The sequence below is a fragment of the Homo sapiens genome, chromosome 5 (genome assembly GCF_000001405.40).
Source record: "Homo sapiens chromosome 5, GRCh38.p14 Primary Assembly".
Classification (NCBI taxonomy): Eukaryota; Metazoa; Chordata; class Mammalia; order Primates; family Hominidae; genus Homo; species Homo sapiens.
The window spans coordinates 131899360-131927221 of NC_000005.10; the positions used below are offsets into that span (position 1 = coordinate 131899360).

General features: G+C 37.6%; 1 protein-coding gene across 1 annotated transcript in view; it reads right to left on the bottom strand.

The window, feature by feature from the left end:
- Positions 1–27862, bottom strand: part of MEIKIN (meiotic kinetochore factor) — a 138674-nt gene that overhangs the window by 92370 nt on the left and 18442 nt on the right. Inside the window, exons 6-8 of the mRNA NM_001303622.2 lie at positions 22463–22582; positions 17527–17566; positions 12456–12520 (exon numbers count right to left, since the gene is read on the bottom strand). Coding sequence (NP_001290551.1) covers positions 12456–12520; positions 17527–17566; positions 22463–22582 — 225 coding nt within the window. The remainder of the gene's footprint in view (positions 1–12455; positions 12521–17526; positions 17567–22462; positions 22583–27862) is intronic.

The following is a 27862-nucleotide window of genomic DNA, read 5'->3' on the forward strand; positions in this document are numbered from 1 at the left end:
TTAAACTATACCACTAGAGTAAATCACCTTCATTAATAGGAACACAAAAAGGAAAGAAAGAAGGCCACAAAACAACCAGAAATAACAAAATGTCAGGAGTAAGTCTCTACTTATCAATAGTAACACTGAATGTAAATGGGCTACACTGTCCAATCAAAAGACACAGAGTGGTTGAATGGATTTAAAAAAAAAAAAAAAAAAACAAGACCCAGTGATCTGTTTTCTTCAAGAAACACACTTCACCTATAAAGACACACACAGACTGTAAATAAAGGGATGCAAAGAAATATTCCATGCCAATGGAAGTCAAAAAAGAGCAGGAGTAGCTATATTTATATCAGACAAAACAGATTTCAAGACAAAGAAGGTTATATATAATGATAAAGGGGTCAATTCAGCAAGAAGATGTAATAATTTTAAATATATATGCACCTAACACTGGGTCATCCAGATATATAAAGCAAACATATTACAGCTAAAGAGAAAAATAGGCCCTAATACAAAAATTGCTGGAGATTGCAACACTCCACTTTCAGCACTGGACAGATCTTCCAAACAGAAAGTCAACAAAGAAACATTGGACTTAATCTTCACTTATTCATTTGTCTTCAATTATTTAGAACAAATAAACCTAATAGATATTTGCAGAAAATTTTATCCAATGGGTTCAGAATATACATTTTTTTCCTCAGCACATGGATCAGTCTCAAGGTCATATGTTAGGTCACAAAACAAGTCTTAAAACATTCCAAAAAACTAAAATAATATCAAACATCTTCTCTGACCACAATGAAATAAAACTACAAGTCAATAACAAGAGGGAAGAGGGAGGTAAGTTGGCTGACTAGACACAGCCAGGAGGAACATCTGTCGCTGAGGGAATGGGACATTGGGAAGACTGGTGAATTCCTAGCAGATCTTCAGAGGGAAGGCATTGAGAGTGAAGGAAGACATAGATGCTAGGCTAAAGGAAAAAGAAGCTGGGAACCCTGCAGAGGGCTAAGGCGCACTGGGACTCATTCCTGGCCCCAATGACTCCTGGGGAAGGGGTGAGTTGAGCAGGCAAGTAGCAACCCACCCTTACCATGGGCCTCTGGAATCCTGGCAGGAGACCTCATGACCCCCACAGACACTTGTTCTGTAGGGGCAGAACTCCAGCTGGTGCAGATCTCGGAGGGTTTGGTGTTGGAGCATGTGCAGTGGAGCATAGCCAAGGACGCCCATCCCCCAAGGCTTGCCTTCCTCCTCTAGGAGATTTTAGCCCTAGGGGAACTGTTGGACTTGAACAGCCCAGGGTAGTCTTGCCCATGAGATAGGGCTGGTCTACCTGGTCACCTCTTGGTTGGCCTGCCTATCCTGGGGATCCAGCCTGGCAGCACTTGCTTGAATGTAGCCTCAGATGCCCAGGTGGGGTGCCTCCTGGGAGAGCAGCATCATAGCTCCTGTGCTGGCAGACTGCTCCTGACTGGTACAGAGCTCCAGGAGAGCAGACACTGTGGATGTACGCCAGCCCTCCCATGCCCTCCCCCTGCTGCAGCCTCCCTTGTGCGGCTTTGCCTGCACACATTTGCCCATGTCCAACACCTAGACCGCTTTGCTTGCACATGTATGCATGGGTGGACCTTGCTGTGCACCCCACCCACTCACCCACCATGCTGCCATTGCTGTCGAAGCATTTGCAGGCATGAAGACTGCTAGCCCCATGCCTGCCAGTGCCCTGTTCTTGTGTTGACACTGCCACTGGCGTGAAACTGCACATGGTGACCAACAGACCTACCCCACACCCTGCAAGGCCACTGCCACTCACATGAATGCACGCACAGATGGCGTCAGTCCCACACCTACCAATGCTCTGTCCCTGTGCTGACACTGCCATTGGCACAAAACTATATAGGGAGACCGGCAGACCTTCCCCTACCCTGAGCGGCCACTGCTGCCTGCATGGATACCTGTACAGATGGCACACAGAGTCCCATACCTGCCAGCACCCACCTCGTCCTAACATCGCCACCAGTGTGAATGTGCACACGGACCCCAGTGGGGCCTGTTCCCCCCTGTGCCATGCTGCCAACCCCACCACTGTTAATACCTGCATGGACACTGGTACCCCTACAATTGCCAGCACCCTGCCATAATCAACAAGTATGTACCCTGCTGCACTGCCACTGCTGCTGGCATGTACAAATCCCACTGCCACTGCCCTGTGAAGAGCTTTGGCTGGCACCACTCATCAGAGTGCTGTGACCAGCAGTCTGGGAACACCTTGGCCCTTGGTGAGCAGGTTTCTCACCTCAAGGGGCCAGAGAACAAAGCCAGGGGCCTGATACCAGCCCCACAGAATTGGAGCACACAATCCAGAGGTCCTGAGCTGAGCCTTGGCCCCCCACAAAATCTTCCAGAAACAAAACCAGTTGACTGAACCCACCTTATACAACAAGAAAACCCCCAAGGATATCAAACAGGGCAAAAGAAAAAAAAATCCAAAGGGCAGTGATATGATTTGGATCTGTGCCCCTGACCAAATCTCATGTTTGGTCATGAGATTTAGAAGTGGGTCCAATGTTGGAGGTGGGGCCTAGTGAAAGGTGATTAGATCATGGGGGTAGTTTCTCATAAGTGCTTTAGCACCACCCTCTTGGTGCTGTTATCATGATAGTGAGTTCTCATGAGATCTGGTCCTTTAAAAGTGTATAGTACCTCCTCCCTCTCCCTGTCTCTCTTCTCCTGCTCCAGCCATGTGAAGTGCCAGCTCCCTCTTTGCCTTCTGCCATGACTGTAAGTTTCCTGAGATTGCTGGGCACAATGGCTCATGCTTGCAATCCCAGAACTTTGGGAGGCCAAGGCGAGTGGATCACTTGAGCTCAGGGGTTCGAGACCAGCCTGGGCAACACGGTGAAACCCTGTCTCTACTAAAATACAAAAAATTAGCTGGGTATGGTGGTGCACACCTGTGGTCCCAGCTACTCAGAAGGCTGAAGTGGGAGGATCACTTGAACCTGGGAGGTGGAGGTTGTGGTAAGCCAAGATGGTGTCACTGCACTCTAGCCTGGGTGACAGAGTGAGATCTTTCTCAATTTAAAAAAAAAAAGAAGAAGTTTCCTGTGGCCTCCCCAGAAACCAGGAAGATGGTTTCTTGTACATCTTGCTTCCTGTACATCATGCTTCCTGTACAGGTACAGCTTCAGCATCATGCTTCCTGTACAGCCTGCAGAACCATGAGCCAATTAAGCCTCTTTTCTTTATAAATAACCCGGTCTCAGATATTTCTTTATAGTAATGCAAAAATGAATAATACAGACAGCAACTTCAAAGACTGAAGAAACATCAGCCCACAAAGATGGGAAAGAACCAGTGCAAAAACTCTGGCAATTCAAAAAGCCAGAGTGTCTTCTTACCTCCCAAAAACCCCACTAGTTCCCCAGCAATGATTGTTAACCATGCTGAGATGGCTGAAATGACAGAAATAGGAATCAGAATATGGATAGGAACGAGGATCATCGACATACAGTAGAAAGTCGAAACCCAATCCAAGGAATCTAAGGATTACAATAAAATGATACCAGAGCTGATAGACAAAATGGCCATTATAAGAAAGAACTGAACTGATGCAACAGAGCTAAAAAATACACTCTGAGAATTTCATAATGCAATCGCAAGTATTAAGAGTAGAATTGACCATGCTGAGGAAAGAATCTCAGAGGTTGAAGCCTGGATGTACAAAAGAACTCAGATAAAAATAAAGAAGAAACAATGACAAAGAATGAACAAAACCTCCAAAAAATATGTGATTATGTAAAGAGGCCTAATCTATGAGTCATTGGTACACCTAAAAGAGAAGGAAAGAAACCAAGCAACTTGGAAAACATTTCAAGATATCATCCATGAAAATTTCCCCAAGCTCACTAGAGAGGCCAACATTCAAATTCAGGACAAGCAGAAAACCCCTGCAAAATACTACATAAGAAGACCAGTCTCAAGACACACAGTCATCAGATTCTCCAAGGTCAAAATGAAAGAAAAAATGTTAAAGTCAGCTAGAGTGAAGGGGCAGGTCACCTACAAAGGAAATCCCATTAGGCTAACAGCAGACCTATCAGCAGAAACCCCATAAGCCAGAAGAGAATGGGGGCCTATATTCAGCATTATAAAAGAAAATAATTTTCAACCAAGAATTTCATATCCAGCCAAACCAAGCTTCATAAGCAAAGGAGAAATAAGATCCTTTTCAGACAAATTTGTTAGCACAAGACCTGCCTTACAACTGGTCCTAAAAGGAGTGCTAAATATGGAAAAGAAAGACCGTTACCAGCCACTACAAAAAACACACTTAAGTACATAGACAAGTGACACTACAAAGCAACCACACAAACAAGTATGCATAATAACCAACTAACAACATGACAAAAGGACCAAATCCACACATATCAATACTAACCTTGAATGTAAATGAGCTAAATACTCCCAATTAAAAGGCACAGAGTGGCAAGTTGGATAAAGAAACAAAACCCAACAGTATGCTGTCTTCAAGAGATCCATCTCACATACAATGACACTCACACACTCAAAGTAAAGGGATGAAAAAAAAATCTACCAAGCCAATTAAAAAAAAACAAAAAAACAAAAAAATAACGGAAAAAAAGCAGATGCTGCTATTCTCATTTTGGACAAAACAGACTTTAACCAAGATCAAAAAAAGACAAAGAAGGGCATTACATAATCTAAGAAGGGCATTATGGGGCTCAATTCAACAAGAAGACCTATCTTTCCTAAATATATATGCACCTAACACAGGAGCACCCAGATTCATAAAGCAAGTTCTTAGAGACCTATGAAGAGATTTAGAAAACCACAGAATAATAATGGGACATTTAAACACCCACTGACAGTATCAGACAGATTGTCAAGGCAGAAAACTAACAAAGATATTCAGAGCCTTAACACAACACTTGACCAAATGGATCTAATAGATATCTACAGAACTCTCCACCCCAAACCAACAGAATACACATTCTCCTTATATGCACATGGCAAACACTGATCACAAAGTCAGGTACAAAAGAATCTTCAGCAAATTTCAAAAGAAATGAAATCATACCAACCACTCTCTCAGACCACAGAGCAATAAAAATAGAAATAACTGCTAAGAAAATTGCTCAAAATCATACAATTATTGAACTAATTTACACTCCCACCAATAGTGTAAAAGTATTAAAGACAGTGTGGCGATTCCTCAAGGATCTAGAATCAGAACTACTATTTGATCCAGCAATCCCATTATTGGGTATATACCCAAAGGATTATAAATCATACTACTATAAAGACACATGCACACGTATGCTTATTGCAGCACTGTTCACAATAGCAAAGACTTGGAACCAACCCAAATGCCCATCAATGATAGGCTGGATTAAGAAAATGTGGCACATATACACCATGGAATACTATGCAGCCATAAAAAATGATGAGTTCATGTCCTTTGCAGGGACATGGATGAAGCTGGAAACCATCATTCTCAGCAAACTGACACAGAAACAGAAAACCAAACACCACATGTTCTCATTTATAAGTTGAACAATGAGAACACATGGACACAGGGAGGGGAACATCACACACCAGGGCCTGTCGGGGGGTTGGAGGATAGGGGAGGAATAGCATTAGGAGACATACCTAATGTAGGTGAAGGGTTGATGGGTGCAGCAAACCACCACGTGTATACCTATGTAACAAACCTGCACGTTCTGCACATGTATCCCAGAACTTAAAGTATAATTTTTAAAGAAGTGAAAAAAACCCCATACAATTAAATGGAAATTTTAAAAACCTGCTCCTGAACGACTTCTGGGTAAATAATGAAATTAAGGCACAAATCAATAACTTTTTTGAAACTAATGAGGAAGAAGATACAACATACCAGACTCTCTGGGACATAGCCAAAGCAATGTAAGAGGGAAGTTTATAGCACTAAAAGCTCACATCAAAAAGTCAGAAATAACTCAAATTAACAACCTAATACCGCAACTAGAGGAACTAGAAAAACAAGAGCAAATCAACCCCAAAGCTACCAGAAGACAATAAATAACCAAAATCAGACTAAAGGAAACTAAGATGAAAAAAAACATACAAAACATCAATGAATCAGGGGCTACTTCTCTAAAAGAATTAATCTGATAGACCACTAGCTAGATTAAGAAAAGAAAGAGAAGAGCCAAATAAACACAATTAGAAATGACAAAGGAGACATTACCACTGACCCCACAGAAATACAAAAAACTCTCAGAGACTATTATAAACACCTCTATGCACACAAGCTAGAAAACCTAGAAGAAATGGATAAACACACAGACCAATAGAGAAACAAAATAGAGAACCCAAACATAACCACCAGATCTTTGACAAATCTACCAAAACAAGCAATGGGGAAAGGACCATTCCATAAATGGTGCTGGGATAACTGGCCAGCCATATGCAGAAGACTGAAACTGGAGATCCCTTCCTTACACCATAAACAGAAATTAACTCAAGATGGATTAAAGACGTATATCTAAGACTCAAAACTATCAAAACCCTGGAAAATAACCTAGGAAATACCACTCTGGACAAAGGACATGGCAAAGACTTCATAACAATGACGCCAAAAGAAATTGCTATGAGAGCAAAAATGACAAATGGGACCCAATTAAACTAAAGAGCTTCTGCACAGCAAAAGAAACTATCAACAGAATCAATAATCTACAGAATGGGAGAAAATATTTGCTAACTATACATCTCACAAAGGTCTAATATCAGAATCTATAAGGAATTTAAACAAATTTATAAGCAAAGAACCATTCCATTAAAAAGTGGGCAAAGGACATGAACAGACACTCTTCAAAAGAAGACATACACACGACCGACAAACATGCAAAAATGCTCAACATCACTAATCATTAGAGAAATGCAAATCAAAACCACAATGATACCATCTCACACTAGTCAGAATGACTATTATTAAAAAGTAAAAAAGTAACAGATACTGACAAAGTTGCAGAGAAAACAGAATGCTTATATACTGTTAGTGGGAGTGTAAATTATTTCAACCATTGTGGAAAGCAGTGTGGTAATTCCTCGAACAGCTAAAAACAGAACTACCATTTGACCCAGCAATCCCATTATTGGGTATATACCCTAAGGAATATAACTTATTCTACCATAAAGACACATACAAGCACATATTTATCACAGCATTATTCACAATAGCAAAGACATGGAATCAACCTAAATGTTCATCAATGGTAGACTAGAGAAAAAAAATGTGGTACATATACACCATGGAATGCCATGCAGTCATACAAAAGAATAAGAATATGTCCTCAGCAGTAACGCAGATAAATCTGGAGGCCATTATTCTAAGCAAACTAATACAGGAACAGAAAACCAAATACTGCACAGTCTCACTTATAAGTGGGACCTAAACATTGGGTATATATGGACAGAAAGAAGGAACAACAGACACTGGGGCCTACTTGAGGGTGAGAGGAGGGTGACTATTGAAAAAGTACCTATCAGGTACTATGCTTATTACATAGATGAAGAAATAATCTGCACACCAAACTACTGTAACAGACACACAATTTATCTACATAACAAATTAGATATGTTTACACCTGAATCTAAAATAAAAGATAAAAAATAACGAGGAATTTTGGAAACTAACAAACACATGAAAATTAAACAATATGCTCCTGAATGACTAGTGAGTCAATGAAGAATTAAGAAGGAAACTGAAAATATTCTTGAAACAAATCATAATGGAAATACAACATACCAAAACCTACAGGCTACAGTGAAAGCAGTACTAACAGGGAAATTTACAGTTACAAATGCTTATATCAAAAAGAATAAAAACTTCAAATAAACAACCTAACAATGCATCTAAAAGAACTAAAAAAGAGCAAACCAAACCCAAAATTAGTAGAAAAAAAAGATCAGAGCAGAAACAAATGAATTCGAAAACAATACAAAAAAGCAATGAAACAAAAAATTGGTTTCTTGTAAAAAAAAAACTGACAAACCTGTAGCCAGACTAAGAAACAAGAGAGAAAACCCAATTAAATAAAATCAGAGATGAAAAGGGAGACATTACAACTGATACTGCAGACATTCAAAGGATCATTAGTATCTACTATGAGCAACTACATGCCAGTAGACATATGCAATCTAGTATGACTGAACCATGAAGCAACCCAAAACCTTGAGCCGGGCAGGTGGCTCACGCCTGTAATCCCAGCACTTTGGGAGGCCAAGGTGGGCGGATCACGAAGTCAGGAGTTCGAGACCAGCCTGACCAACATGGTGAAACCCCATCTCTACTAAAAATACAAAAATTAGCCGGGCGTGGTGGCATGCGCCTGTAATCCCAGCTACTCAGGAGGCTGAGGCAAGAGAGTCACTTGAACCCGGGAGTCAGAGGTTGCAGTGAGCTGAGATTGTGCCACTGCACTCCAACCTGGGCAACAGAGTGAGACTCCGTCTCAAAATAAATAAATAAATAAATCCAAAACCTGAACAGGACAATACAAGTAACAAGATTGAAGCTATAATAAAAAGTCTCCTGGTAAAGAAAATTCCAGGACCTAGTGACTTCACTGTTGAATTCTACCAAATATTTAAAGAAGTACTAATACCAATCCTACTCAAACTGTTCCAAAAAATAGAGGATGAAGGAATACTGACAAACTCATTCAATGCTATCAGTATTACCCTGATACAAAAACCAGACAAAGACATATCAAAAAAAGAAAACTATAGGCCAATATCTCTGAAGAATACTGATGTAAAAATCCTCAACAAAATAGCAAACTGAATTCAACAACATATTAAACAGATCATTCTTCCAGACCAAGTGAGATTTACCCCAGGGACGCAAGGATGGTTCAACCTATGCAAATCAATCAATATGATACATCATATCAACAGAATAAAGGAAAAAAACCATATGATCATTTAAATTATGCTAGAAAATCGTGATAAAATTCAACATCCGTTCATGATAAAAATTCTCAAAACAGTAGGTACGGAAGGAACATACCTCAATATAATAAAAGCCAATATATGACAGACCTACAGCTAGTATCATACTAAATGGGGAAAAACTGAAAGCCTTTCTTTGTAAACCTGGAAGAAGACACGATGCTCACTTTCACCATTATTATTCAACATAGTATCGGAAGTCTAGCTAGAGCAGTCAGACAAGAGAAAGCAATAAAGGGCATCTGAATTGCAAAGGAAGAAGTCAAATTATCTTTGTTTGCAGATGACATGGTCTTATACTTAAAAGAAAAACTAAAGATTCCACCAAAAAACTAGTAGAACTGATAAATAAATTAGCAAAGTTACTTGATACAAAATCAACATATAAAAATCAGTGGCATTTTCATATGCCAACTGTGAACAACCTGAAAAAGAAGTCAAGAAAGTAATACCATTTACAAGAGCAACAAATAAACTAAAATATCTGGGACTTAACCAAAGATCTGAAAGATCTCTACAATGAAAACTATGAAACACTGATGCAAAAAATTGAAGAAGACAGCAAAAAATTGGAAAGATATTCCATGTTCATGGACTGAAAGAATCAATATTGTAAATATGGCCACACTACCCAAAGCAATCTGTAGGTTTAATGCAATCCCTATCAAAATATCAATGAAATTCTTCATACAAATAAAGTACTAAAATCTATATGGAACACAAAAGATCCAGAATAGTCAAAGCTAACCTGAGCAAAAATAACAAAACTGAGAAATCACATTACGTGACTTTAAATTATACTATGGCGCTACAGTAACCCAAACAGCATGGTACTGGCATAAAAAACAGACACATAGACCAAGGAATCAGAAAAGAGAACCCATAGATAAATCTATACATCTACACCGAACTCATTTTTTACAAAGGTGCCAAGGACATTCTTTGGGGAAGGGCCAGTTTCTTTAACATGGTGCTTGGAAAACTGGATAGCTACATGAAAAAGAATGAAACTAGACCCTTGTCTGTTGCCATATACAAAAATCAAATTAAAATGGATTAAAAACTTAAATCTAAGACCTCAGACTATGAAACTACTACAAGAAAACATTGGGGAAAGTCTCTAGGACATTGGGCTGGGCAAAGATATCTTGAGTAATACCCCACAAACACAGGCAACCAAAGCAAAATTACAAATGAGATCACATCAAGTTAAAATGCTTCTGCACAGCAAAGGAAACAATCAATAAAGTGAAGTGACAACCCATAGAATGGGGGGAAATATTTGCAAACTACTCCACCTAATTAGGGATTAATAACCAGAATATATAAGGAGCTCACACAACTCTATAGGAAAAACAAAAATCTGATAATCCAATTAAAAATGAGCAAAAGACCTAAACAGACATTTCTCAAAAGAAGACATACAAATGGCAAACAGGTCTATGAAAAGGTGCTCAACATCACTGATCATCAGAGAAATGCAAATCAAAACTACAATGTCATATCATCTTACCCCAGTTAAAATGGCGTTTATCCAAAAGTCAGGCAATAACATGCCGGTGAGGATGTGGAGAAAAGGGAACCCTCGTATACTGTTGGTGGGAATGTACATTAATATAACCACTAAGGAGAACTGTTTGGAGCTTCCTCGAAAACATAAAAATAGAGGTATCATACGATCCAGCAATCCTACTGCTGAGTATATACGCAAACAAAAGGAAATCAGTGTATCAAAGAGGTATCTGCACTCCCGCATTTGTTTCAGCACTATTCACAACAGCCAAGATTTGGAAGCAACCTAAGTGTCCATCAACAGATGAATGGATAAAGAAAATGTGGTACATAAACACAATGGAGTACTATTCAGCCTTAAAAAAGAATGAGATCCTGTCATTTACAACAACATGAATGAAACTGAAGGTCATTATGATAAGTGAAATAAACCAGGCACAGAAGGACAAATATCACTTGTTCTCACTTATTTGTGGGATCTAAAACAAAAACAATTGAACTCGTGGAGATAGAGAATAGAAGGATGGTTACCAGAGGCTGAGAAGGATAGTTGGAGAGGGGGAGTGGTTTGTAGGGAAGGTGGGGATGGTTAATGGGTACAAAAAAATAGAAAGAATGAATAAGACCTAGTATTTGCTAGCACAACAGCATGACTGTAGTAAAAAATAATTTAATTATACATTTAAAAATAACTAAAAGAGTATAACTGTATTATTTGTAACACAAAGGATAAATGCTTGAGGGCATGGATACCCTACTTACCCTGATGTGATTATTATGCATTGCATGCCTGTATTAAAATATCTCATGTAAGCCATAAATATATACACCATCTATGTATCCACAAATATTAATAATAAAAAAATTGTAAAAAGAAATGTGTAAAAAAAAATCTCTAGAGTAAGTGGCTTATTTAATTTTAAATTTTAAGTTACCATATAAAAGTAAGAATACAGAAACATACAGAATTCAAGAATCACTATTCTGCCCTACCACCAAGCTTTGTAAATATTTTCCACAGCTAAAGCAACACTTTTTATTTGGCAAAACCTAGGTAAAATCATGGTTGATTTTGGTACACTTACCACTTTCCCTTTAATTAGTGCTCATCTGTTATTCACACATTCCCTTATTCTTTGATCTGTAAAACAAATCCTTCTTCCAATGCTAACCCTCCAGGGTAGAAGGTATTGCTCCTTCCAAGGATTTTGTGCTTTTACAAGATTAGTTTTTATCACTAGACTAATTTTGCTTAGAACAGAAAGTATATTAATTGTTTTATACCTACAGTTCCTAACTTAATGTGTGGCATTTAGTAAATGCTCATTAAGATAACTTCTTAAAATGAAGATTATGCAAATATATATACATACAAACATTTACAACCATCAAGAGCAAAATCAGCAATTCTTCAAGTTTACTCTCAAATGGATGCTATAAAACTTGATGCAGGAAATATAGAAAAATATGAGATACAGCAGAGGTTAATAAGGATGTAAATGTCTTGCTAAATTTATCCTAATAGTAAACTACATAAGGGTTTGCAAGACACTTTGCTTATCCCTTTATTTTTCAATCATTATGCATAACTACAATATATGTTCACTTATTGTCCTCTCCTACAACTGAAATCTACAAGGGGAGGAAAAGTGTATCACTTCCACTAGTATATATAACAATATCTAGTATGGAGTTCATATTCATTAAATGTTTATTAAATGAATAAATGATTGATGCTGTGGGGATAGCTAAGACCCACTTTCTGATCCCACATATCTTCATTTCTTAAATACAACCAAGCTAAAAAGTACTCGGTTCACTGGGCTACTAACTTTGTTAATGCATGTTGCAGGTAGCAAAAATAAACACAGAATCGTGTTTTAACATAAATATTACAATTACTACATAAAATAATTAGTTTCATTATTTGTTACCTGATTCTGAATTTGAAGCACACTTTGCTTTTGGAGAAACATTTTGATCTGCTACTGTCATCACTCTATAACAAGAACAAACTGTTTAGTGGTATTTTCTAAATCCTTCAGTAACTTTCAAAAACCCTCAAATAATACTTAAAATAAAGATATTTATTTGAGATTAATTATCCTGTGGGAAAATATACAGTTGCTTAGAAAAATGTTATGGTATTTATATGAACAAATAGTTTAATAAAAAAGGCAATATATTTATACATTTATGAGTGTGAAACAATATGCGTAGAGGACAGGGCATAGTGTTTAGAATAAGACAGACCTTGCTTTAAACTCCAGTTCCACTACTCACACTTGGGTGGCCTTTGGAAAGCTACTTAGCCTGTCTTGAGTCTTGGTTACCTCATTTATGCAAAAGGGATAGCAATCATGTTTCCTAAGATTCTTGTGGAAAGAATTTTAAGATACATGACAGATTGATTATTATTATTATTATATTATTATTATTATTATTGAGAGAGGGTCTTGCTCTGTTACCCAGGCTAGACTGCAGTAAAAGGTTTTTTTGAAATTAATATCCTGGGGTTTTTTTATTTTGTACTTCTACAAACTAGACAACCCCCAGTTCTATCTAAATGTGTAGGAAAGGACTAGCTATCACAAAAGGAATAAATAAGAAAGGATCAAAGCTCAGCCTCTGACCACAAAAATGGGATTTCTGAGTCCGTAGCAAGAAAATGCAGTTGAAAACCAAATGTGAGAAGGGAATTTTCTAAATTCCTACACTGATTAATTGAATAGTTGAACTCAGTAAACAGAAACAATTTTATTCTTTCATATTTCCTTTTAAACGTATCCTGTCAAAATAGTACCTTCTCGCCTCTGAATGAACTTTCAGGTAGATTTCTTTTTACTAACACCTTTCTGGCATTCTCTTGTAATAAGTAGCTATTTTTAGGTAACAAAAAGTTCAGTGTAATATTACAAATCCAAACTCTCCTTATGCAATTTAAATTTTTTCCTTTTCTCAGCTTGGGCATGATTTAGACTCAGAATATGCTGTGGGAAGAGCAACCACCATTGGTTTCATCTCTGTTTCTTGTTCTTTTCCCTTGCCTATTTGGAAACTACACTTTGGGTTCCTCTGGCAGTGAATTATAGGAAAGGAGTTTTAGAAATGTACAGGAAAGTCTTTCTCAATCTTGACTGATATAGTTATGTGCCATTGGTATCTCTGGGATATGACACATAATCAAATGTGGACCCTTTTAAACTTGAAGTATTCTGAAGGGTTCGTTGGAGGTTTACCTATCACTGGAGCTCTACCTATCACCGGAGCTCTCTCACTTGCTGCTTTTTATCATCTCCTCAGCTTTTGCCTTTGATGATGGAACCTCCAGCTGCTTTTGAGTGAGGTTACTTCATCCTTTGCAGGAAGTCATATTGGGCATAATCCCTTTCAAGATGATCATAATTAGCCCCCTTCTATGGAATCCATATTTGGCCTATTGGCATTATGCACAAATCTTTGTCATGTCAAACTCTGAAAGTATATCTAGCTTCCTCTTTATTCTGCCATTCCAAAGCACCTAACAGACCCTCTTTGCCTTTAGACCTTCCGGGTATGAGTCAGAAACTAACTCCCAGTGACATATGTTGAACCTTCCAAATGGTTCTCTTGGAGCTTCCTTTCTTGTGTTGAGGTGAGGGAGAAGACTCCTCGCTCCATGTGACACCAATATATAGCTCTTATCAAAGAAACACACATTCTTGGACTTTTCATCCTCTCCATGTATTCTTAGCCTTTTCTTAGTTTGGAGATGAGTAATAAGCTAATGCTGGTAGAATTGGGTTTTGACTTCACCTTTTACAAACTCCACATAGATAATTCTACACAGAATAAGGAATGGGGGTACTTGTCAACGATTTGTGTTCATCAGTAAGGCCACTGTCCAAACTCTAAGACAACATGAAAACCACATTTAACATTTTGCTACATTCCTCAAGTTCCTATTAACATATGTAAGTTAAAACACAACTACAGAGTTCTACTATTAGCCATTGCTATGGTTTGAATGTTTGTCCCCTCCAAAATTCGTGTTGAAATTTAATAGCCAACGTGGTAGTATTGAGAGACAGGGTCTTTAAGAGGTGACTGGATCATGAGGGCTCTGCCTTCATAAATGGATTAAGCCATTCATGGATTAATGGAGTAATGGATTAATATGTTATCATGGGAATGGTACGATTGGCTTTACAAGAGGAAAAAGAGAGACCTGAGCTACCATGTTCAGTCCCTTTGCTATGTGATGCCCTGTGCCACCTCGGGACTCTGCAGAGAGTCCCCATCAGCAAGAAGGCCCTCACTAACTGCAGCCTTGGCCTTAGAATTCTTAGCCTCCATAACTGTAAGAAATAAATTCCTAGCCAGGCATGGTGGCACATGCCTGTAGTCCTATTTACTCAGGAGGCTGAGGCTGGAGGATCACTTGAACCCAGGAGTTCGAGGTTACAGTGAGCTATGATGGTGCCACCGCACTCCAGCCTGGGCAACAGAGTAAGACTCTGTCTCAAAAAAAAAAAAAAAGAAAGAAAGAAAGGAAAGAAGGAAGGAAGGAAGAAGGATGGACAGACAGATGGAAGGAAGGGGAGAGAGAGAGAGAAAGAAAGAGAGAGAAAGAGGAGAAAAAGAAAAGAAAAAGAAAAAGGAAGGGAGGGGAGGGGAGGGGAAGGGGAAGGGGGAAGAGGGAAGGGGGAAGAGAAGGGAAGGGAAGGGAAGGGAAGGGAAGGGAAGGGAAGGAAAGGGAAGGAAAGGAATTCTTTTTCTTTATAATATAATTGCCCAGTTTCAGGTATTTTGTAATAAGCAACAGAAAACAGACTAAGACAACCATATGATACAGAAAAAGCTAAGGAAGTTAACAAAGATAGATCTCTCCTCCACACCTTCCAGTCTAGAGCATTATTAGAAAGAGAAGGGGGACAAAGACTTAGAAAACAAGCAGACAATGGGAGCTGACTTTTCTCCCTCAAGGCCCAAATATGCAGATAGGGGTAATAAATGGGAAGATGACATTAGAAGAGATGAAGAGAAAGTCAAAAGAAGAGGGAGTATGTACTAACTCCCTGTTTAGAACTCTAGGAGATGTCCATACAGGGTGGAAACAACATAACAAGAAGAGCTGGGGATGTTCAGGCAGAGAGGGGGCATCAGTTAGCTCTCCTGAGATTCTCTTAATTCCTGGGCATTGAGAACAAGTTCTCAAGGTTCCATACACCAAGGGCAATGAAGAAAGTGGCCAAATTTACAGCCAAAACACCTGGCATAGGTGTTCTGTGGTGAAGTGACTCTACTACAAAGGTTGTGGAAAGCCACCCAGTCAAAGTCTGGATATAGGACTTCAATGAGACTCAAAGGGTTTGAGAAAACAACAAAAACCAAGGTGAGGTAAAATCAGCAATGGAGGACCTCAGGTCCTAAATAAGGCCTTAAGTTTATGAGTCAATGATTTTTTCAGTGGAGCCCAGACCAGGTATAGAACCAGTCTAGAAGCCTTGCAGCATGTATCAGTAAAAATCCAGAGACAGCTTATGGGATTCCAGATACCCTCAGATCCCAACCTTACCCTTTCCCCAGCACTGCTACAAGGCTACGTAAGGTCTGCCCCTATTCCTAAACACTTAACATTTAGGGTGACTATTTGTCCAAACTGGAACATTTCTGAGAGTACAAGGGTACTCTATTAAGAATTATGTCAGAAAAACAGGCATATACTGAAACTGCCCAGGCAGATAAAGGGATATGATCACCTACCAATATGCCATTCTCAGGACTATGGAATGGGGAGAAAATCCGAGATTCAGCATTTACCCAAAGAGGACTTCTAACCAGAAGTAAATGGATGACAGTAAGTAAGTTTAACTCATTATTTCCCAGCTAAATAGGGGAGAAGGGTGATGAGGGTTTAAGAGAAGTTTAGATGAGTTATTTAAAAAAAAAAATAAATGAAGCTATGTTTTCTTTGCACATGTAAGTAGTAGGTTTTATTTTTCAAAGAGAGGTCAGTATTTAGGTGAGACAGGAAATAGTCTCAGATACACATAATCAAGTGTTTTATTACATTTGCTCCATTTCAATACATAGGCAACAGTCATTAAAGTGGATCTACAAAGAAGTTATCGCAATATAAATAAAACCCCGTCTCCATTAGCTACTAAGTCAAAGTTGTAGGGGTTTTACTTTGTGAATGTGCTACTTAAATAAAGAGAATGCCAGATGTCTAGTAGATAATAGGCACTCAAATCTGGTATCATTATTATCCAAATACCATTCTATCCTCCTTAAGAAAATATTACATTATAAATTGTGGAAGGAATTTTTTAAGCAAGTCCATCATCATCTCTGGTCACCTTAGTCATTTATATTTACAATTGTCACTGTCATTTACTGAAGGACAATTCACCCAAAAAAACAGCTAACAGATTTTCTTTTCTTCAGAAATTTCTCACCATTTAGATACAGGCATATTTATAAAGAGGCTATCATACTAACGCTACTCTCTTCTCACTCTACATTCTTTCCCAAGGAGACAACTATGCCTTCAGCCCAGGACTTTTACCTTGCTCTCCAGGCTGGGCCATCCAATTTGTTGTTGGACATCTCCACTTCAAAGTGCTGTCGGTACCTCAGTATTACCCCAACCCACTCTTGTGTTTTCATTTGTGTTCCCTCACCTAGTGAACAAGTTTTCATCCAATTTCCTAAGTCAGAGGGCTGAGAGCCAACTTGGATTTCAACTTCTTCCAATCTGTCACTAAAAACTATTGACTATCCCTCTTGAATTTTTCTCAAACTTTTCCTTTTTGCTATCATTGCTGAGGGCAGAGATTTCGTTTTTAATCAATTTTGTTCACTACTATATCTCTAGCAATTACAACAGTCCTGACACATAGTGAGTCCTCAACAAATAATAAATGAACACCTGAGTTTGTGGACTAACAATCATATTTGCTATATAACTATTATAATACAGGGTTTCAGAAGCTCAACAATTTTAAAATTTTTAGTTCTTACGTTTTTCTATGGCATTTCTGATAGTCTTCTGAAGAGGTACCTAGGAGAGAAAATAAAAACAATCTATTAGAAATATAATTCGAAGGCAAAAATTAGGTAAAAATGAATATTTTCCCCCAAGTGCAGTTCATTTTTATAACTTTTTAAATATTGTTTTTATGTCTGCCACTTAAATTAGGTAAAAATATTTTCAAAATATCAAAGTAAAAAAATGCTGCAAAATTTTATGAGATACAGGAATCTCTCCCTTGTATTTGAATAGTTCTTTATAATTTTTGAAGTCTTTTCACGTGTATTATCTTACTTGATTCTTACAACAATCCTGTCAGGTAAATATATCAATTTATTATCCCCATTTTACATATAAGAAAAAAATAACTGGTCAAATTACAAAACTAGGCCGGGCACAGTGGTTCACGCCTGTAATCCCAACACTTTTGGGGACCGAGGCAGGTGGATCACCTGAGGTCAGGCGTTCAAGACCAGCCCAGGCAACATGGTGAAACCCCATCTCTACTAAAAACACAAAAATTAGCCGGCCGTGGCAGCATATGCCTGTAATCCCAGCTACTTGGGAGGCTGGGGCACGAGAATTGCTTGAAGCCAGGAGGTGGAGGCTGCAGTGAGCCGAGATTGCGCCACTGCACTCCAGCCTGGGCAAGAGTGATACTCCATCTCAAAAAAAAAAAAAAAAAAAAATTAGAAAACTCACAGTCAAATACTAGTCCAGTATCAAATATATAGAAATGCATACTAATAGATTGATTAGTCAAGAAAATTTCTGCCAGCCAACATTTGACTGCCTCAGGTACATTAAGATATTACTAGGAATATAAAGAACCATGGGTATAGTTGTCTAAAGAAATTAAAACCTTTAGTTTCTGTGGTACTTATGTTAGATTAGAATTTTTAAATCTCACCAATTAAGAGGAGACAAAGTGGATGATGCCTTTAAGCATTTCCTCAAAGGGAGGTTCTCAAAACATAAAAGGCTACAGTGGACCCTCATCATCTAGCATCTACTCTGTTTTTGCTGGTAACAGTCACCTCATTTTTTTTCCCCCGAGGGTCCAGGCATAGCCTATAACTCAATGCTGTGAGAGCCCTGCATCTCGCTGGACAAAGTGACTGGTTCAGGGTAAGGCATATAAACTAATGAAGCCCATGTGTAAGGTCCAGGACTTCAGTTCAAATTGTTGGGAAAGAGAAGCACTTTTTTCAATGTATTTGAGGCTGTGATTATGTAAGCCCACAGCCAGCAAAAGTTGCTCTAAGAAGGGACTTGTCTGAGAGCATAACTGACATAGAGGGATCCTGAGCCAAGAGATAGAGAGGAAATGGATCCTACCGATATCATTTGAAACCCTGGATCAAGTTGCATTTGCACCTGATTTATTGCTGAATTTTTCAAGTACACGTGGTAACAAATTCCCTTTTTAACCTAATACTGTTAGATTTTTTGACATTTGCAATGGACAAGAATCCTAACCAAAGTATTTGCTAAAGAGACAGCCTGCTTCTTTGAGAATTTTGTTTCAGTAAAGGAGTTGCCAAACTAAACATAACACAGAAGACAAGGCCTTCAAACACTGTAGAAATATGGCCATCCAGACAGCTATCAACTTTCCAATAAAGGACCCCTAACTCAATGTTCTTTGACTAATATGACCCTTTCTTAGTGGCAGGCTCTAATAGGTGGGCTGACAATATCCATTCCTACTCCTCTTCTTCATTTTCCTTGCCTTCTACCACAATAGAGGATAGGAAAGCAAAATACTTGGTTTCTCAGCCTCCCTGGTGGTAGATAGATGCATGACCCAGTTCTGGCCAATAGACCAAAGTAGAAGTCAGCTGGGAATTTCTGGGAAAGCTTTTCTTCTTCCAATAAAAGAATACATGTGGGGCTACTCCTGCCCTATCTCATTCTTTCTACCAGGAACACGGCTGTGACACCTAGAGTTTAGCAACCACCTTGCAACTATGGGGAACAAGCCAACACACTTGGTTGTATGTTGACATAAGACCCTATGATCTTGATGATATTAGAGAACTGCTACACTAGCTCTGGGCTGGTATGGGAGAAACATAAACCCAGTATGAATAAAAAATTTTTGCATGACAAAACATACCATGAACAAAAAGACAACTGACAAACTGGGACAAAATATTCATAATATATACAACAGACAAAAGGCCAATATTCTTCAAATAAAAATGGCCCTTAAACATATGAAAAATGTTTAAACTCACATATAATCATGGAAATGCAAGTTAAAATAGCACAGAGATACCATTTGTCACCTATTAGAGTAGCAAAAATTAAAAAAAAATATGACAACACATTCTGTTGGTAAGGATATAGTGAGACCAGCACTTTAACACACTGCTGTTGGGAATGCAAACTGTTATAATCCTTCTGGAGGAAAATTTGGCAATATCCAATAAAATGATATATGCACTTACCTTTTGACCCAGCTATCCTACCTCTGGAAATCTACCTTGAAGACACACTGCCAATAACATGAAAATATATATCATAGGTTTATTCATTGCAGTATTGTTGATGGTGGCAAAATACTGGGGAAAAACCTAAATACCCAATTTATAGGTATTTTTGAATCAACAAAAGTACATCCACAGAGTGGAGTACTATGCAGCTGTAAAAAATAAAAGGAAGATCTCTATGTAAACCAATGTGGAGTGATTTCCAGTACATACTGTTAGGTGGAAAAATCAAAGTGAAAAAAGAGTAGCTATATAGCACGGTACCCTTCATGTAACAAAGAAGAGGATATAAAGAAATACATGGATATCTCCTGATTTGTACAAAAGAAACACAGGAAGGATAAGCCAAAAACTAAAAAGACCAGTTATCCATAGGGGTTAAGTGAGAAAGGGGTAGAAAGAAGAGAAGAATGGTAGCTGGAAGAAGGAGAAAGTGACAATTTTCTGAGAATAACTTTTTATATAGCTATGACTCTTAAAACCATAGTAATATTTCATATTCCCGAATACATAAACAAAACCAAACAGGAAAGGTGAATGCAAAAGTGAATCAATAACAAATGAGTCTAGCTATACATATTACAAGTGAATAACTTCTCATATGCTAAGGGAGGTGGGGAGAAAATGAACTTACATAACTTTGGAAAATTAGTATTTTGACTGGATGCTGTAATGCTAAAGACAAAAAGAACTGTATGCAAATGCTGTAATTTATTTACTAAATGTGTTTCTTACAGGAGCCTGGGTTAACACTTCTGAAACTACTCTATACATATATACTAGAAATAAATAAATAAATGAACGAATGATGAAAATATTGGATTTCAAACCATAGAATAAATATCCATGAGTCTACACTGAATAAGTAATCAAATAAACAAACAAATGGCAGAAAAGAGAAAGTTCTTCTTTTACAGTAAAATTCCAATTAATAAAAGTAGCAGGAAAGAACAGAATAAAAAATCACCCTTGGACAAACACCACAGTAATAAAGGTTGAAGTCAGCTGGCTCCTCTGATGGCTGCTAAAATTAGTGAAATAAAGTTTGAGGAGAAACAGAGTTTACAGTCTCAAACTATCTTTTTGTAGATATTCAAAAATTACAAAGAGAAAACATAATCTTTAATTGGAGAAATTCAGCAGATACCACCTTAACTAAATGATGAAATTTACCATCACCACTAGTAAGACATAATATTCTTCAAATAAAAATGGGGGGACATCATGAACCCTTTGATATGATATGATACACTGCAAAGGCACAACATCATTTCTGTGGTATTCTTACCAAAAACTGCATAACTTCATTTTTTTTTTTTTTTGAGAAGATCCTCATTCTGTCACCCAGGCAGAAGTTCAGTGGTACAAACGTGGCTCACTGTAGCCTTGACCTCCTGGGCTCAAGCGATCCTCTCATTCTCCCACCTCAGCCTCTTGAGTAGCTGGGACTACAGGCGTGCACCATCACATCTGGCTCATTTTTTATTTTTTGTAGAGATAGAGGTCTCACTATGTTGCCCAGGCTGGTCTCAAACTCCTCGCCTCAAGCAGTCCTCCCACCTCAGTCTCCCAAAGTGCTGGGATTACAGGTGTCAGCCACTGCACCCAGCCATAACTTCATTCCTATCACGAGGAAACATCAAGACAAATCCCAACTAAGGGACATTCTACAAAATAACATCAGTAATCTGAAAGACTGAGGAAGTATTACAAACTGCAGGAGACTAGGGAGAAATAACAATTAAATGCAACATGGGATCCAGGATAGGATCATGAAACAGAAAAAAAGAAAGACTAAATGAAAAGTCTAAAAATAGTTCAAAATAAAAAGTTATAAAAGACTGAGTGCAATGGCTCATGCCTATAATCTCAGCACTTTGGAAGGCCAAGGTAGAAGAATTGCTTGAGGCCAGGAGTTTGAGACCAGCCTGGGCAACATAGCGAGACTCCATCTCTAGAAAAAATTGTTTAAATTAGCTTGATGTGCCTGGGAGCAGTGGCTCACACCTGTAATCCCAGCACTTTGGGAAGCCAAGGCAGGCAGATCACCTGAGGTCAGGAGTTCAAGACCAGCCTGGCCAACATAGTGAAACCCCATCTCTATAAAAATACAAAAATTAACTAGCTGTGGTGGCACGTGCCTGTAACCCCAGCTACTAGGGAGGCTGAGGCAGGAGAACTGCTTGAACCTGGGAGACAGAGGTTGCAGTGAGCCTAAATCATGCCACCGCACTCCAGCCTGGGCAACATAGTGAGACTCCATCTCAAAATAAATAAAAAAGTAAACTCATACATACTTATGCTATTATTAGATATTATCTGTAGCCAAAGGCAATCCAACTGATAGACTTAGCTTAGAAATCATTCAAGAGAAAAAATACTTTGCTTTTCCAACATAGATGAGAAATGTTCCCCTGTGTGTGCAACTCACTGAAAATTGCTGAGACATTTGAAAACTGTGGTGCCTTCTCTATCGCTACTGCTTTACTGGTATCCAGAAGAGTAGAATTCTTCCACTGCATGTGTTCTTCCAAGTTGGGACACTCCCAGTCTAAAACAGCAGAGAAGAAATAGTGTAAGACTTTGAACAACAGCCTACAAATGATGGGTTACTCCCTACCCCACCTTAGGCCCCCAGCCCATACTAAATGATGGTATTATATTTGAAGGTTTTGGATGAGACAGAAAAAAATAAGCCTTGATGGATCAATATAGTAAATAATCTATAGTCTATTCTGGTTCTCTTACCCTGCCTTCCTCTCTAGACTTTTCTACCATGCGGATTATTGATCTAAGAGACAGGTAGCACACATGTGAGCTGCCTGTTATATTTTATATATGTTATACCTATGTGCCATTAAAAATCGCATCACTAAATAACATACAGTCAGCCCTTTGTATTTATGAGTTCCACATTTGTGGATTCAACCAACCATGGACTGAAAATATTCAGGAAAAAAATTGCATCCATACTCAACATATACAGCCTTTTTTTTTTCTTGTCATTATTCACTAAACAATACAGTATAACAACTATTTACATAGCATTTACATTGCATTAAGTATTATAAGTAATCTAAAGATTATTTAAAGTATATAGGAGGATGTGCATAGGTTACATGCAAATACCATGCCATTTTATATCAGGGACTTCAGCATCCACAGATTTTGGTATCCAAGGGAGGTCTTGGAACCAACCCCCATGGATACCAAGGGACAACTGTACGTAAACTGCTATTACTTAATATCAGTTTTAAGCTTTCTAGTGACTTCCCACTATGGAATAAGGCTATTACCTGTATATTCGCCCATCCCCACCTTTCCTACCTCTCCCATCGTTCCCATATTGTTATATCATATATTAAGTTAGATCAATATTCATATAGACATATGATGATAAAATGTTATAAAAATGCTGTTTACTCTGGTGGTATATCAAAACCACCTTTTGTTTTTCCTGGAGTCAATACAAGTCCCTTTCCTCATCTGTTTAGTTTTATACACACACACACACTTTTTTGAGAAGAGTCTTGCTCTGTCGCCCAGGCTAGAATGCAGTGGTGTGATCTTGGCTCACTGCAACCTCCGGTTCCTGGGTTTAAGTGATTCTCCTGCCTCAGACTCCTGAGTAGCTGGGATTACAGGCATCCACCACCACACCCGGCTAATATTTTATTTGTGTAGAGACAGTTTCGCCATGTTGGCCAGGCTTGTCTCAAACTCCTGACCTCAAGCAATCCGCCTGCCTCAGCCTCCCAAAGTGCTGTGATTACAGGTGTGTGCTACCACTCCTGGTCCCTCTATATTTTTAAATCTATTTAATCTCAAATGCTACCAAATTGCATAAATCCATTCCATTTATTCCACTCCCAGGTGTTTTAGAATTTCTAATGCTGTGCCTTGGTGTTTTTCATCTACTGTACTAGGCACACTATGGTCCTTTTAACCTGGAAACTCATAATTTATAGCTCGAAAAATGTTCTTGAATTATTTCTTAATAATTTTCTTCCCTTTTTTCTGTTATCTTTTCCTGGAACTCCTATTATTTGATGTTGGATTTCATATACTGTTCTTCTATCTTATATTTTTTTCCTCTAAATTTTAATCTTTTTTTTTCTTTATTTTCTCCTCTTTTTTCCTCCTTTTTTTCTTATGATTTTTTTTTCTGGTAAATCTCAACTTAATATTTTAATCCTTTTACTGAGTTTTCCATTCTGCTTTTGCACTTCATTGTTCTTAGAACAGCCTCTTCTTCATAGCATCCTATTCTTATTTAACGGATAAAATACATATTTTCTTATCTCAATGAAGATTTTTAAAAATATTTTCCTCTCCTTGTTCCTATTTCTCCTTGATTCTTTTTCCTCCTACTTAATTTCCTTGTTTCAAGATTTTTTTAATTTTAAAAGTTTAAACATTTTAATATTTAAAATTATTTTTATAGTTAGAACACTTAACATGAGATCTACACTCAAACTTTTAAGTGTACAATCCAGTGTTGTTAACTAAAGGCACAGTGTTCTATAGCAGCTCTCTAGAGCTCACTCCTACATGTGTAAGTGAAACTTAATACCCATTGATAGCAACTCCCAATTTTCCTTTCCTGCCAGTTCCTGTCGAACATCATCCTACTCTCTGCTTCTATGAGTTTGGCTCTTTTAGATAACTCATATAAGTGGAAATATCAAGTATTCGACCCTCTGTGACTGGCTTATTTCATTTAACATAATGTCCTCAAGGTTCATCCATGTTGTCACAAATTGCAGGATTTCTTTCTTAAGACTGAATAATATTCCATTGTATTTATACATCACATTTTCTTTATCCATTCATCTATCAACAAACATTTAGGTTTTTTCCACCTCTCGGCTACTGTGAATAATGCTGCAATGAATAAGGGAGTGCTAATATCTCTTTGAGATCCTGATTTTAATTATTTTGGATATTCACACAGGGATTGATGGACCACATGGTCATTCTGTCTTTAATTTTTAGAGACACCTCCATACTGTTTCTATAGCTGCTGTGCCATTTTACATTCCCACCAACAGTGTACAAGGGTTCTAATTTATCCACACCCTTGCCAACATTTGTTATCTTTTGTTTTTTGTTTTTTTGGTAATAGCCCTTTTAACAAGTGTGAGGTGATACTGTGGTTTTGATTTGCATGTTCCTGATGATTAATGATGTTGAGCATTTTTTCATATACTTGCTGGCTATTGCTGCTGCTGCTTTGGAGAAATATCTATTCAAGTTATTTGTCTATTTTTTCAATCAGGTTGTTTTTTTTGCTTAATTTTGCTATTCAGTTATAAGAGTTCCTTACGCATTTTAATTATTTACTCCTTTATCAGATATATGATTTATACATATTTCCTTCCATTTTGGTAGGTTATCTCTTTACTCTGTTGATTGTTTCTTTTGCTGTGCAGAAGTGATGATGTCTCACTCGTTACTGCTCTTGTTGCCTATACTTTTGGTAGCATATCCACGAAATCACTGCTAAGACTAATGTTATGAAGCTTTTCCCCTATGTTTTCTTCTAGGAGTTTTACAGCTTAAGGTCTTATATTTAAGTATTTAATCCAATTTGAATTAATTTTTGTGTATGGGTGTCAATGTCCAATTTCATTATTTTGTATGTGGATATTCAGTTTTCCCAATAGCATTTGTTGAAGAAAGTATCCTTTCCTCATTGTGTATTCTTGGCACTCCATCCTGTCAAAGATAAGTTGGCCATATATGTACAGATTCATTTCTCTTATGACAGTATCATACTGTTTGAATTACTATAGCATTGCAATGTATTTTGAAATCAGGAAGTATGATGTTCCTACTTTGTTCTTCTCAAGATTGTTTTGGCTATTTGAGCTTCTTTGTGGTTCCATATACACTTCAGGGTTGCTTTGTTATTTCTGTTAAAAAATGCCATTGAGATTTTGATAGAGATTGCATCAAATTTGTAGACTGCTTTGGGTGTATGGATATTTTAACAATATTAAGTCTTCCAACTCATAAACATGGGATGTGCATCCATTTGCTTGCATCTTTTTAAATTTTATTCATCATTGTTTTCCAGCATACATATCTTCTACTTCTTAAGTTTATTCCTAAATATTTTATACTTTTTGATGATATTGTAAATGAGATTGTTTTATTTCCTTTTCAGGTAGTTTATTGCTAGGATATAGAAACACAACTGATTTTCGTATGTTGATTTTATAATCTACAATTTTACCAAATTCATTTAATCGTTCAAATAAGTTTTTGTGTTTTTTTTGTTTTTTGTTTTTTTTGAGACAGAGTCTTGCTCTGTCACTCAGGCTGGAGTGCAGTGGCATGATCCCGGCCCACTGCAACCTCTGCCTCCCAGGTTAAAGTGATTCTCCTGCCTCAGCCTCCTGAGTAGCTGGGACTACAGGCACCTGCCACCATGCTGGCTTATTTTTGTATTTTTAGTAGAGAAGGGCTTTCACCATTTTGGCCAGGCTGGTCTCAAACTCCTGATCTCATGTGATCTGCCCGCCTTGGCCTCTTAAAGTGCTGGGGTACAGGTGTGAGCCACCACACCCAGCCTTGTGGTGTCTTTAGAGTGTTTTACATATAAGATCATGTCATCTGCAAAAACAGATTATTTTACTTCTTTTCAATTTAGACGCTTTTATTTTTTTGTTGCCTAATTGCTGTGACTAGGACTATGCTGAATAAAAGTATTCAGCATACTTCCTGATCTTAGAGGAAAAGCTTTCAGTTTTTTACTACTGAGTATGATGTTAGCTATGGGCTTCTCATATACAGTCTTTATTATGTTGAGGTAATTGCCTTCTGTTCCTAGTTTGAGAGTTTTCATCATAAAAGATGTTGAATTTTGTCAAATCATTTTGCTGCATCTACTGAAATTATCGTGTAATTGTTACCCTTCATTCTGTTAATGTAGTGTATCACTTTAGTTGATTTTTGTATTTGGAACCATCCTTGCATTCCAGAGATAAACGCCACCTGGTCATGGTGTATGATCCTTTTAATATAGAGATGAATTTCAATTGCTAGTATTTTGTTGAGGATTTTTACATCTATGTTCATCAGGGATATTGTCTTACAGTTGTCTTTGCTTGTAGTATTTACCTCGCTTTAGTATGAGGGTAATGCTGGCCTTAAAGAATTAGTTTGAAAGTGTCTTCTCCTCTTTAATTTTTTAGAAGAGTTTAAGAATTAGAATTAAATACTCTTTAAATGTTTGGTAGAATTCACCAGTGAAGCCATCTGGTCCTGGATTTTCTTTGTTGGAAGGTTTTTGATTGCTGGTTCAATCTCCTTACTAGTTATAGGTCTGTCCAGATTTCATATTTCTTCATGACATAGGTTATATGTTTCTAGGAATTTCTTCTTTCCTTCTAGGTTATTCAATTTATTGTCCTATAATTGGGCATGGTAGTCTCATGATTATTTTTGTTTCTGTGGCATCAGGTATAATGTCTCATCTTGCACTTTGAATTTTATTGAGTCTTCTTTTCTTAATCTAACTAAAAGTTTGTCAAACTTGTCTTTTCAAAAAACCAACTCTCAGTTTCACTGATTTCTTTCTATTTTTTTCAATTTTCTGTTCCATTTATTTCTGCTCTAAATTTTATTTCCTTCTATCTGATAATTTTTGGCTGTTCATTCTTTTTTTCTAGTTCCTTGAGGTGTAACATTAGCTTATTTGAAATTTTTCTTTTTAAATTTAGTTATTGTTATAAAATTCCCTCAGTACTGCTTTTGCTATATCCCACGTTTTAATATATTGTGCTTTCATCCGAAGATATTTTCTAATTTCCCTTTTGATTTCTTC